The 12,381-nt window shown below is 34.5% G+C and overlaps 1 protein-coding gene across 7 annotated transcripts in view; it reads right to left on the bottom strand.

Moving 5' to 3' along the window:
- The window catches only part of RAPGEF2 (Rap guanine nucleotide exchange factor 2), a 257,095-nt gene that overhangs the window by 25,660 nt on the left and 219,054 nt on the right, over nucleotides 1–12,381 (bottom strand). For all 7 annotated transcript variants that reach the window (NM_001351724.5, NM_001394067.2, NM_001351726.3 and 4 more), the window contains 8 exons: nucleotides 12,031–12,167; nucleotides 10,897–11,055; nucleotides 4,504–4,656; nucleotides 4,016–4,180; nucleotides 2,976–3,083; nucleotides 2,681–2,884; nucleotides 2,480–2,588; nucleotides 1,817–2,063 (listed from right to left, as the gene is read on the bottom strand). In NM_001351724.5, the coding sequence (NP_001338653.1) occupies nucleotides 1,817–2,063; nucleotides 2,480–2,588; nucleotides 2,681–2,884; nucleotides 2,976–3,083; nucleotides 4,016–4,180; nucleotides 4,504–4,656; nucleotides 10,897–11,055; nucleotides 12,031–12,167 (1,282 nt within the window). The remainder of the gene's footprint in view (nucleotides 1–1,816; nucleotides 2,064–2,479; nucleotides 2,589–2,680; nucleotides 2,885–2,975; nucleotides 3,084–4,015; nucleotides 4,181–4,503; nucleotides 4,657–10,896; nucleotides 11,056–12,030; nucleotides 12,168–12,381) is intronic.

Raw genomic sequence — 12,381 nt, 5'->3', positions numbered from 1 at the left:
ACTTTGAGAAGCCCAGGTGGGTGGATCATTTGAGGACAGGAGATCGAGACCAGCCTGGCCAAACAGCAAAATCTTGTCTCTACTAAAAATAAAAAAAATTAGCCGAGCATGGTGGTGCACACCTGTAATCCCAGCTACTCAGGAGGCTAAGGAATGAGAATTGCTTGAGCTCAGGAGGTGAAGGTTGCAGTGAGCAGATCACAGCAATTGCACTCCAGCCTGGCTGACAGAGCGAGCCTCTGTCTCAAAAAAATAAATTAATTTAAAAAATCTGCATTTAGGTAATTTATTTTTTCATCCATTTAAAAATAAGGTTTTCATCAACGAAGGTTATTTTAAAAATTGATTCGTATTTTCTGTAAATGCCAGGTGCCCTAATCCATTGTCTCTTAGAAACTTACTCAATATATCCTCTTGAGCCTATAAATACTACTCACTGCTTATCCTTAGGACTCTGCTATAGAAGACTGCTGATACAAAACCACCAATCATTACTCTATAGTTTAATTGGGACAACTCAACCAATCAATAGTATATTTTAAATCACATTTCTCTAATCTGTGGATGAAAATTTTATCTGAAATGGAGTTTTCTTAAAAAAGATCTGAAACGGAATTTTTTTAAAAAAGAAAAAGAAGTGTTTGATATAGTCCTGCATATCTACTGCATGTCTTTAGACCCATTAAATTATCAAAGCACGAAATTATATGTTTTAAAGTTATTATCTAACATTGTAGTTTGGGGACTATATAACTAAATGTGGCACAGTGAGAAATGGCTGACAGTAATCAAGTTTTATAAAACATTCCTAGACTCAAGAAGGAACTAAAATGAAGAAGCAAGCAAGCAAAGAAGCAAGCTTAAAAAGCATCAGAAATACCTGCAATTTTGTCTAGCCTGGCTGAGCTCCTGGCATAAATAAATAACCAAGAAGAAATTCAAGAATACACCTGACATTCTGACTACTAAGTTGACTGGGAAAAATGAAAGGAGTTCTGTGCTTGGCTGTTGATGCCTTGACAGTAATTAAATAACTGAAAATAGAAGAGAGAGGGGAAAACAGAGAATGATAGGGATGAATAATGGCAACTGGATAAAGCAATGATTTGACTGGTAAAGAGCACATGCTGTTGGTAAAGAAGATACCCAGAAACAAAATACAGTAGAAAAAGCAACTCTAAATCATGATGGAGGAGACAGGAGGCAAACACACGCTTTTAAAAAGTCCAAACCTGCGGCTGGGTGCAGTGGCTCACACCTGCAATCCCAGCACTTTGGGAGGCCGAGGCGGGTGGATCACGAGGTCAGGAGTTCAAGACCAGCCTGGCCAAGATGGTGAAACCCCGTCTCTACTAAAAATACAAAAATTAGCCGGGTGCAGTGGCAGGCATCTGTAATCCCAGCTACTCGGGAGACTGAAGCAGGAGAATCACTTGAACCTGGGCGGCACAGGTTGCAGTGAGCCGAGATCGCGCCACTGCACTCCAGCCTGGGCAATAAGAGTGAGACTCTTTCTCAAAATAAATAAATAAATAAATAAATAAAAATTAAAAAATAAACTAAAAAGTCCAAACCCCCAAAAAATAGTTCAAATGAGGAAATGCTAAACTATCTTTAAAGAAGATTGGGAGTAGCCAAATAAGTGGCAAAAACGAGATTAAAACAAATTTGATTGTTTAATACTGCTTCCAAAATAGCTCAGTCATAAAAACCTAGAACAGTTTTCAGACTCATGCAAACATTAATTACATCACTATCTTTGCATATCATTTTAACAAAATAAAATAATGCACAGAAGACATATGCAGATGCTTACTTGTATGGTTTCTGTGGCAAGATACTGATCCGAGTCTTGTCGAGTATCTTTTTCAGCTTGTTCCTTCCTCCCACAGTGTTGGCTTTACTTTTTTTGTTCACTTTTTCAAGTCCTATCACCTGTTCTACATCTACAGCAAGATCTGGAATGGAGTAGCGACTGGCCTTTTTAATGTCACCAATTTTAGGAAGGTGGGGGGCACCATTTCTTTTCTCTTCTGACAATCTTGTTAGAAGTTCTTTAAATACTAAAATAAATGAAAACAGAAACACCACGTAATGGCAATTATAAGATATCTGAACAATTCTAAGGCAATTGTGGAACTTGGAAATATATGAGAAGTACAGACTTCAGTTATCAAAACTGCAAACCTGCAGAAAAACAGTATCACACAGTAAACGAATCACGCCAAATCTGCTTGGTATGTTGCTCTATCAAAATAAGTTTAAAAAGAGTAGTATACTCTTTACGGTTATTTTAGTATTTATCAATAAAAGATTTCAGTTATCAATAAAGACAGATTAAAAATATTTTTTATGGTCAAGTCAGTAGTTTTTATTTAGATCTAATCTATGCTTTTACCATATATGCTTTCTTATGATGTTTGAAATACTAAAAAACAAGGCCAAAAGGAGAAAAATGAAAAGTATGCAAAATACTTACCAAATAAATTGGTTTTCACAGTGATAGATAAATGTGTGTTATTTCTAAGAATTTCCATAGCTTTTGACAGCTGAATGTTTTCAAAGTTTTGGCCATTTACTTCTAATATCTAAAAATGAAATTATAAAATGTATCAAAATTGACTGAAAAAAAAAACCAGACACCAAAATTCACCCTTAAATGAGTTTAGAAATGGCATACCTGATCCCCCCGTTTCAAGCCTGCTTCAGTTGCTTTGCTACCTGAATCTACACTGTCAACAAAGATTCCAAATCCCTTCTCAGAGCCTCCAAGTAAGATAAAAGGCAAAGGAGCTTCTCGGGATGGTTTTGTTAACGTCATCAATCTTCTTTTTGCTTTAGCAGCACACGCGATATTCAACAGCCTTAGGTGTCCACCCATTTTCTTTAAGAGTTCAGAAACAGTAGTGTCAACTCAAGAACAGGCTGAATAAAATGAACTTTAAGCTGATCTTAAAAAAAACCACAAATATTACCTCTCTTTCCAGATTGTTTTCAAATTCTTCTAAAAATCGAGTCATTGCAGGATCTCCTTCAAAGTCATTGAAGTGATTATTTACCCACAATAATACTACCCGTGTAACCTGAAAAGTCAATTATTTTCAATAAGTTTCCTTTTTAGTGCCAAAAATGTGATTAAAATCATTCCAGAAAAGATATCCAACTTTCAAATAATTTACCTAATAATAATAAACAGGAAAATAAATTAACAATAATAAAATCTTAAATGAGGATGACCTTCTGAAAATGAGTATTTTTACTTTGAATATAGACTTCATGTTGCTTTGCCAGGAAAGGTTCTGAGTCTGTGAAGGTATTTAACTTAAAACTTGTCTAACTTTCAAAATGCATTTGAAACAGATCAAAATAAAAGCAAAGGTGTAATAAAACAAAAATCAGCTAATACAAAAGACAGAAACTAGAAAGTCAAGGTAGAAGAACAGACTGGACAAAGAGAATCAATGCTATTAAGCCTAGAAAGCTCTGTAAGGGTGCAGAATATAAAAGGAAGGAGATAAGACAATGTAGTTTGTCATCCAATCTGGCCTTAGAGCTCTCAAGAGCTCTAGATGGTCTCCTTAGAATTATAATCCTGGGGCCTACAGAGAGTGATGACTGTCATGAAATGCTGCTCTGGTGCCAATTTAAAAACTGTAACTTTTATCTGGTGTACACTTACTACCAAACTAGAAAATGTAGATTCCTATGGAATCCAGATGTTTATGTTTTAACACACTCCCAACAGAACTTAAAAAAATGTTTAAACATTTGGTGGCCAATTTATTGGCCTTTGTGTTTAAAGAAGGCTGAACTAATATTTTGTTCATATTTCTAAGGCTGAACTAATATTTTGTATCACCTTTTTTTTTGTTTTTTTGTTTTTTTTTGCTTCAGAATTACATTCTCCTATTTCATTACATTAATCTGGACATAATTGCTGTGACAAATATACACATTAAAGTATCTTTAGGTTTACATTTCATATTTAAGAGACAAAATAGAATATATTTCCAACCTTATCCCTGAGGCTCGGGTCATTAAACCACTCCAATAACTTTTTGCCCACTTCCATTGGGCTAGAAAGAAAAGTCCTATAGGTCAACAGAAAGTCTTCTATGAATGTTGGATCTACTACTGAATGCTCTTCCACCAAATGCATTGTTAACCTTTCTGAGGTACCCTGTAACAAAGAAAAGGTTTAATTACTACATATATATACACACACACACACACACACACACACACACATATACATATACACACACACATATATGACATTTATATGGTACTGGGATTTCAAACATTCAACATAAAATGAATTGGATAGTAACACAGTTAACAATTAATGAAACTGCTATTCACTAGGAGATCATACATAAAGATTTTTCACAACTGATAACCTTTAAGAGATAGGCCTAAAAATGAAAAAAAATCCTAAACTGCCACAACCAATACTACCAAAAAAAATTCCTTTCCTTGGGAAGGAGTGGTCCTGTGTCCTACCTTGATGACAATGTGTCCCTTTCTTGTTCCAGTTCGATCAAGTTCTCGGTGTTCTTTCACCATAACAATCTCTCCTTCCTCTTCAACTTTTTGCATGTTCTTTTCTACTTGATTGAGAATACGGCAGTAATCTTGCTGGGCTATGCAGACAAACTGGAATAAAACATAAGTCACATGTTAATGATAAAGTGCTTGCAAAAGACCTAGCAGTACTAATAATTCAGTGTTTTAATTATTTAAAACTGACATTTTTCCCTGTCTTTCCCATACTTTCTAAATTAATGCTGTAATGAACCTTAATCAGACTTCTCTACTTTTAATGTATTTCTTCCTTGGTCAAGAAAAGTTTCATTTTTAGAATACTTATATGTATTTTACATTCAAAATCCTAATAATTTTAAAAATCAAAAGACATAATTAGAAGATAGCTTTTTCATGCTTCTTTCACAATTAAAAAACACTGCAGTAGGGGGAGTGGAATTGTAGGAGAATAGATGTAAAAACTTAATTATCATCTAGTGAATTAAAAGAATTTGAAGAAGCAACAATTTTTGAATGAGAATGATTTTAATGAAAGATACAGACACTCAAAGATACCTATGGAGTAGATATATTAATTTGCTAATTATATTGATGAAACACCATTTTAGAAAGCTTGTTCAAAGAAGGTCAAAACACAAACCACATATGTGTTATAGCTCAAAACATTATCCTTATAACTGGTATTAAGGGTAATCCTTGCTCTTAAAGAAAAAGCTAAAAATCTGCATATGAAGTCATTACTCTCCCTGACCCCAAATATAAAAAATTTCAGAGCTTAGGGCAAACCACTTAAGAAATTACATTTCTTAGAAGTTTTAAAGAAAGTTAAGAATGAATGATAGAAATCACTTATTATAGAAATTAACTAGAGGTCAGTGAGGAGACAAGAGATCATTCGGAAATGGAAAGAAGCATGGTATTTCTTTTCCTCCTTTAATGTGAAGAAGATGAAAAAGGAGGTGGTTAAATTATATTGTAAATAAGATAAAATATGATGCAACCACCTGAAATCATGATTTCATAGGGCATTTAGAGCTCTGATAATACATTATTCTTTTTATATTGCTCATATTAATTTTTTAAAAAAGATACTATACTAAATATTACGATAATCATAATGACAACATCATCATCACCACCATCACCATCACACTGTGGCAGCCTTATGGAACTTTTTCAATTCATCCTCCTAATCAAACCATGAGGAAGGTGCTATTATCCCCACTGTACAGATGAGTAAACAGCCTGATGTCTCATAACTACATGCTGGCCATTTTAAAATAAATTATACATGCACATCAAAATCTTGGAGGGAAATAAACTGTTAATATTATTTCTGAGCAATGCAAATTATGAGCGACTTTCATTTTAGTATCTTTCTATATTTTTCATGCTTTCCGCATAATCAATAGATTTTAAGTAGAAGCAGCAGTTCATAAGAGGAACAGCATATTGCAGTATCATATTTCTCCCAGAGTTGGCTAATCTCACTAGTTTTTCTATTCAGCATTTTGAAGCAAAAAGTTAAAAATCAAAAGATATAGGCTTTTTTTGTACTAGTAATTATGCATACTTTAATTATATTAAAAATACCTTTAGAGCTCTGATATTACATTTTTAAAAATATTGCTTATAGTATCACATTAATTTTATAAATAAACTGTTAACATTATTTCTGAGCAATTTCCTTAACACTGACCACAGGTGTGTAATGTTTCAAAATACATGATCCTTAGTTTCTTATCTAAAAAATATTTTATTTCTTTGTACACAGCAGCAAAATTATTCCCAAATACATATAAGAGATTTAGAATGGTTTTATTTCCAAATAATTCTAGGTGTTCTTTCTTGTGCTCAGTTTTAGAGAACATAATTAAATACTCATTTTCTCATTTATCTTCTAAAAAAGAAATACATCCCTGAATTCAACTGAATAAGTAGATATAAGGGAAAAATGCTTTATGAAGAGAAATGTACTAAAATTAATCTTGACTACAGACTTTTTTAAATTAGAATACATTTGATTTGAAATTCTTAGTGTCTAGACAGACATTTTGGCATTTATTCTATAGCAAGCTGGAACACCATCCAAAAAGGAAAAAAAAAAAAATCCCAAACTGAATTTCTAATATGGTCATATAGAACTGGTACCTTAAAAGAAATACATTTTACTTGAAAATATTTATCTTTTTTAAATAAGCAACTTATTTTTGCTATAACAAATTTATAGATCTAATATGAAATCCACAGGTAACATTTAATTTTAACTAATATGATGAAGTCAGTTGAAAATCTTTGAGTTTTTTTTTTTTTTGAGAGAATCTCACTCTATCGCCCAGGCTGGAGGGCAGTGGCGTGATCTTGGCTCACTGCAACCTCTGGCTCCTGGGTTCAAATGATTCTCCTGCTTCAGCCTCCCGAGTAGCTGGGATTGTACAGGTGCGCACCACCATGCCCAGGTAATTTTTTTGTATTTTTAGTACAGACGGGATTTCACCAGGCTGGTCTCGAACTCCTGACCTCATGATCCGCCTGCCTCGGCCTCCCAAGTGCTGGGATTACAGGCATGAGCCACCGTACCTGTTCAGAAAATCTCTGAATTGCTTTACTGAGGTTTTAAGTTTCTGTAAATCTCATGGGTTTCAAATTGCTGTAAGCCCATGAAAGTACTATATGATCTCAGTACCCTAGTATAAAATAAAAATTCAAGTAAGAATTCACTTATAAAAGTCAATGACAGTTTATATCATAGGATTATTTTCCTTTGGGCATGACATTATAATTTGTATTTAAGTAAAACATTACAGATGATGAATGAAATAAAATTAAACTTCAAACCACATATAGTGTAATCAATTTTCAATTTATCCACAGCAAACTGTATTCTCATCCAAAACTGTTTCTTACATTCTAAGTGCTATTAGAGCCTATGATTCCAGGAAGAGGTGAGTCTAACATAGATTTGCTTTAACAGGTGAGATCTATTTAAACTGGCACTTTGCAGTCTGTGAGGGAAATTCATACCTAATTGTGCACATGGGTATCCAAGTGTTCATTCCCCACTTGAAGGGTGGAGGGCAGGGCTAAGCAATGCCTGGGTGTCACTGGCAGGCCTAAGACACAGGCAGTGGAGAAGAAAACAAGGGAAAAGAATAAAGGGAGTAAGAGGGTAAAAGAGGAAATAAAGAAAGGGCAACAGGAGAAGGGAAAAAGAAAAGAAAGAGGTACATGTGGGTAATGGAAAACCATTACCAATTGCCTGGTATCATAGGGTGTGTATATCAAGCTCTGAACTTTGTCCTTTCACACCAGACAGGGAGTAAGAATAGACACTGAAGTGGGAGAACTGGAAGAGAATATAAGGAAGGGACCCAGAGCAAAACAAGAGCTTGACCATATCATGGGATCCAAACAAATAAATCTTAAATTTAATCCATTCATCATTGTGTTCTTAGGCTTAACATGAGCTCAACCATCTTACTACAGAAACCAATATTCATTTTGGAACTCCCTGAAATATAAGATAATGATGGCAAAGCCTATGCAAAGTTGTTTTTTCTTGGTAAAGATAGCATCATTTTTGTTCATTTCACTCAATAACTTGCTTCCCTAAAATATGGTCAGTAAAATGATAGAAACTCATGGAGGCTATTTTATGCATGAATAAAAATATGGTTCTCACTGTTTCTTTTACTTCTCCCAACAAGGAGATGAGCTAACATTTGTATTTTCTGACAGTTATATGACATTTTAACAGAAATACCTTAAAATGGTATCCCAAGCAAGTACTTACATTAAAATGCCAAAATTCATTCTCCATCCCTGTTTAAGGAATTCCTTAGGGATAAAATGCTAGGCCTAAGCAGATGAGTCAATGGAAGTACAAGAACGAAATCCCTGATTTAACATATTCCTTTTACAGTGGTGTGGAGTGTAGCAGAAAGGAAGATAGGGACTTTCTTTAGCAGGTACCTCACCCTTGACCCTCTTCATAATTAACTTCACACTAGGAGCTATATAGGAGTCTATATATCTTAATCAGAGTTTTCTTTTGAATTGGACTCTTCCCTGTTGACTATCTGGGTTTCCTACTAATCCCTCACTTTGTAAATAAATTAGATTCTCTTCCCTAACATAACCCCTACTTCCTCTTCCTTTTCCAGAACTCCCAGATAAATAATGTTACCTGGTGCATTTGACATGACTTAAGCACTCTGTAATATTCAGTCATATAATATTTCAATCAATTATCCTGAAACAATTCTATGCCGCATATCATTTCAGTCTCATACTTACAAAATTTCTAACAAAAGGGTCTGGCTAATTAAGGGGTATTAATGCAATGGCTGAATTCTCAAAAAAAAACAAACAAACTTTTACTTGCTCGTCAAGGACACACACTCTAACTCAAACACTATTGTAATTCCACTATGTAGAAGGGTTCAGGGAAGAACTGAGAAAATAGGAGACAGGAAAAGGCTTTAACAATTTGCTAGCTTGTTTTGACTCAGTTTAGATTAGTTTTTTTTTAAGAGTACAATTACAGAGCTGAAACAGCATATATAATTCCCTTTAAATGCCCATTCCCGCTAAATAAAGACTTCAATATTTACCATTTGTTTTCCTCTATTATACCACATAACTGAGAATTAACCATTTTGTTTTCCTCTCTTATACCATTTTGTTTTCCTCTATTATACAAAATAATTGGGAAGTAAATATATTTAGAATGCGTTTCTGGCATTACATATTTAAAACACTGAAGTCATAGCCTTATTTTTTTTTTCCTCTATGGTGCTCATGGACGGAATTAGCTGGTGGAATTATTTAGATTCTATAGATAAGATAATTTTATGTATAGCCATGGTCATTTTTCTTTTTAGTAAGTAAAATGCTTAAAATGAATATTTAAATGAGTGATACCATTTTACATTGACCGGACACTGTAAAAATTCAATTATGTTACTTTAAAATAAACTATATTCAGATGTTTTTCAAACTGCAGACTAATAAATACAACTGACAATTAGTTTAAGTCACATCATTTGGTTGTTTACATTTAATTTTGTTTCAGAGACAAATTCTTTTAGAAGACGTCATAAATTATAAACACCTAATAATACCAAAAGTATCTTAAATGTATTTCTCTGTAATATAGTGGTTGCCAGTTAAATCAATCTAGTTTCACATTTGGCCTTAGTATTTTCTCTAGTCAATTATTAGATGCTTTTAAATATGAATATCAATAAAATATCAATACTGATACTATTTCTCTTTTGATATCAAGTATTTTCTTTTTATTAGCTATTATTTAACTAGCAAGTCATTCTACTGATTCACACTATGATTAATTTCCATGACTCTTCTAAAATCAATTTCTTATATGTATTTAAATAAAAACACTGCATAACTATTTCATATCACTTTTATTAATGTATTTACTTCATAATGTGCATTTTACTTCCATATTTTGATGAGATTATTAATTACTGTTGGCAATTTAAAAATACCATCCTTACATAACACTTTTTTTTAGTCGAACACATAGTTACGTGCAGTTCAAGTAAAATGGAAATTAATTTTTACTTTTCTGGGGTGTTATAAGACTAAAAGTAATAGTTCCACATTAAAATCCTATTGGTGCCAGGCATGGTGGCTCACGCCTGTAATCCCAGCACTTTGGGAGGCTGAGGTGGGGGGATCACTTGAGGTCAGGAGTTTGAGACCAGCCTGGCCAACACGGCAAGACCCCGTCTCTACTAAAAATACAAAAAGGCCAGGCGCAGTGGCTCACACCTGTAATCCCAGCACTTTGGGAGGCTGAGGCAGGTGGATCACGAGGTCAGGAGTTTGAGACCAGCATGGCCAATATGGTGAAACCCCATCTCTACTACAAATACAAAAATTAGGTGGGCATGGTGGTGCACGCCTGTAGTCCCAGCTGCTCGGGAGGCTGAGGCAGGAGAATCGCTTGAACCCAGGAGGTGGAGGTTGCAGTTAGCTGAGATCGCGCCACTGCACTCCAGCCTGGGAGACAGAGACTCTGTCTCAAAAAAAAAAAAGCCCTCCAAAAAACCCAAAAATTAGGTGGGTGTGGTGGCGATTGCCTGTAATCCCAGCTACTTGGGAGGCTGAGGCAGGGGAATCACTAGAACTCAGGAGGCAGATGTTGCAGTGAGCCGAGCTTGTGCCGCTGCACTCCAGCCTGGCTGACAGAACAATACTCTGTCTCAAAAAAAAAAAAAAAATTATTTGTAAGATATTTATATAGGGAGAAAAATCTCATCACAATGGCATATAAGTGTTCTTTATTAAGAATAAAATATATATTTTTAATGATATATTTTATACCTGGCAGTCATCCACCTTTGTTCTCATCACTCCTTTCATGTATTCTTTGTCCATGGTAGGAGAGACACCAAAACTATTTCCCATGCACAGTATTTCTGCTTTTCCATCTGGATAAGTCACTTCCACAGATCCATTGAGAATCACTGACCAGGAGTCCAGCTAATCCAAAAAAATAAAGACAAAGCAGAAAGTAACATCATGATCATACAGCTGTAAGTGCCAGTATGGTCCCTAAAAATGAATTAGCAGATCTTCCATTTTGGAGATAAAACAAGTAACTCAAGTTTACTGTTTAACAAGTTCACAGAATAAGGAATAAAACACAGCCACATATCTACATATTTCCATATGCCTAGCACAGAATGTATATCATAATGCCCTTTTAATTTGACTTTGGATATTCTTCTCTAAAATGACACAAGGAAAAAAATTTCTCTGTCCCCCCAAAGCTCATGTAGACAAAATGATCATCATTGCCTCAATGAGAATATCATTTTGTCTGACAAAATGCATTAAATTTATGAATATTTAAGATGCAAAAACTGAAAAGTTAATATATCAAAAACTTTCTATTTTCATATGAAATTCTGTAAATAATGGGAAATATAATGGATTTGGAATATAGTGACTCATATGGTGTGGCTCTGTGTCCCCACCCAAATCTCGAGTTATACTCCCATAATTCCCATGTGTTGTGGGAAGGATCTGGTGGCAGATAATTTGAATCATGAGGGTGGTTTCCCCTATACTGTTCTCTTGGTAGTGAATAAGTCTCACAAGATCTGATGGTTTTATCAGGGGTCTCTGCTTTTGTATCTTCCTCATTTTTCCTCTTGCCACTGCCATGTAAGAAGTGCCTTTCACCGCCTGCCATGATTCTGAGGCCTCCCCAGCCACGTGGAACTGTAAGTCCAATTAAACCTCTTTTTCTTCCCAGTCTCAGGTATTTCTTTATCAGCAGTGTGAAAATGGACTAATACAGTGACATAACAGGTGTACCATAATTCTTGAATTATTCAAACTTACTGTTGTTGGGTATTAAAAAGGAAAAAGTAAGAATTGGGGTTTTGTTCAATTGCTGTATTGAGATATCTTTAAGAAGAAACTTTTTAAGTGGTAGGAATAGTTACTCACCTCTTCACCATCATTTAACACTATGGTCCCTGCTCTTTCCACCACTGCGAACACCATCACAGCACAGAGTTCTCGCCTCACTGACATTGTCATATTGGCAAAAGCAGGCAACTGGTGCATAAATTCCAAGAGTTGTTCTGAAAAGCAAAAGACATACTTTGTAAAAACTACTACTTTTATTAAAAACAAGTATTCAAAAAGAATGTTTTAGGGTCCTTTCTTTTTAAATGCCCTACAATTTTGCTTATTGAAAAATACATATCAAGTATCTTTAGCACCAGCTGAATTTCTTGCAGGTACACAAAGAATTCTGTCACTGTGGAAATGATGACTCTTACTTGTTGAATTAGA

This window comes from Homo sapiens, chromosome 4 (assembly GCF_000001405.40).
Source record: "Homo sapiens chromosome 4, GRCh38.p14 Primary Assembly".
NCBI classification, from domain to species: domain Eukaryota; kingdom Metazoa; phylum Chordata; class Mammalia; order Primates; family Hominidae; genus Homo; species Homo sapiens.
This window is presented reverse-complemented; position numbering and strand designations above follow the sequence as displayed.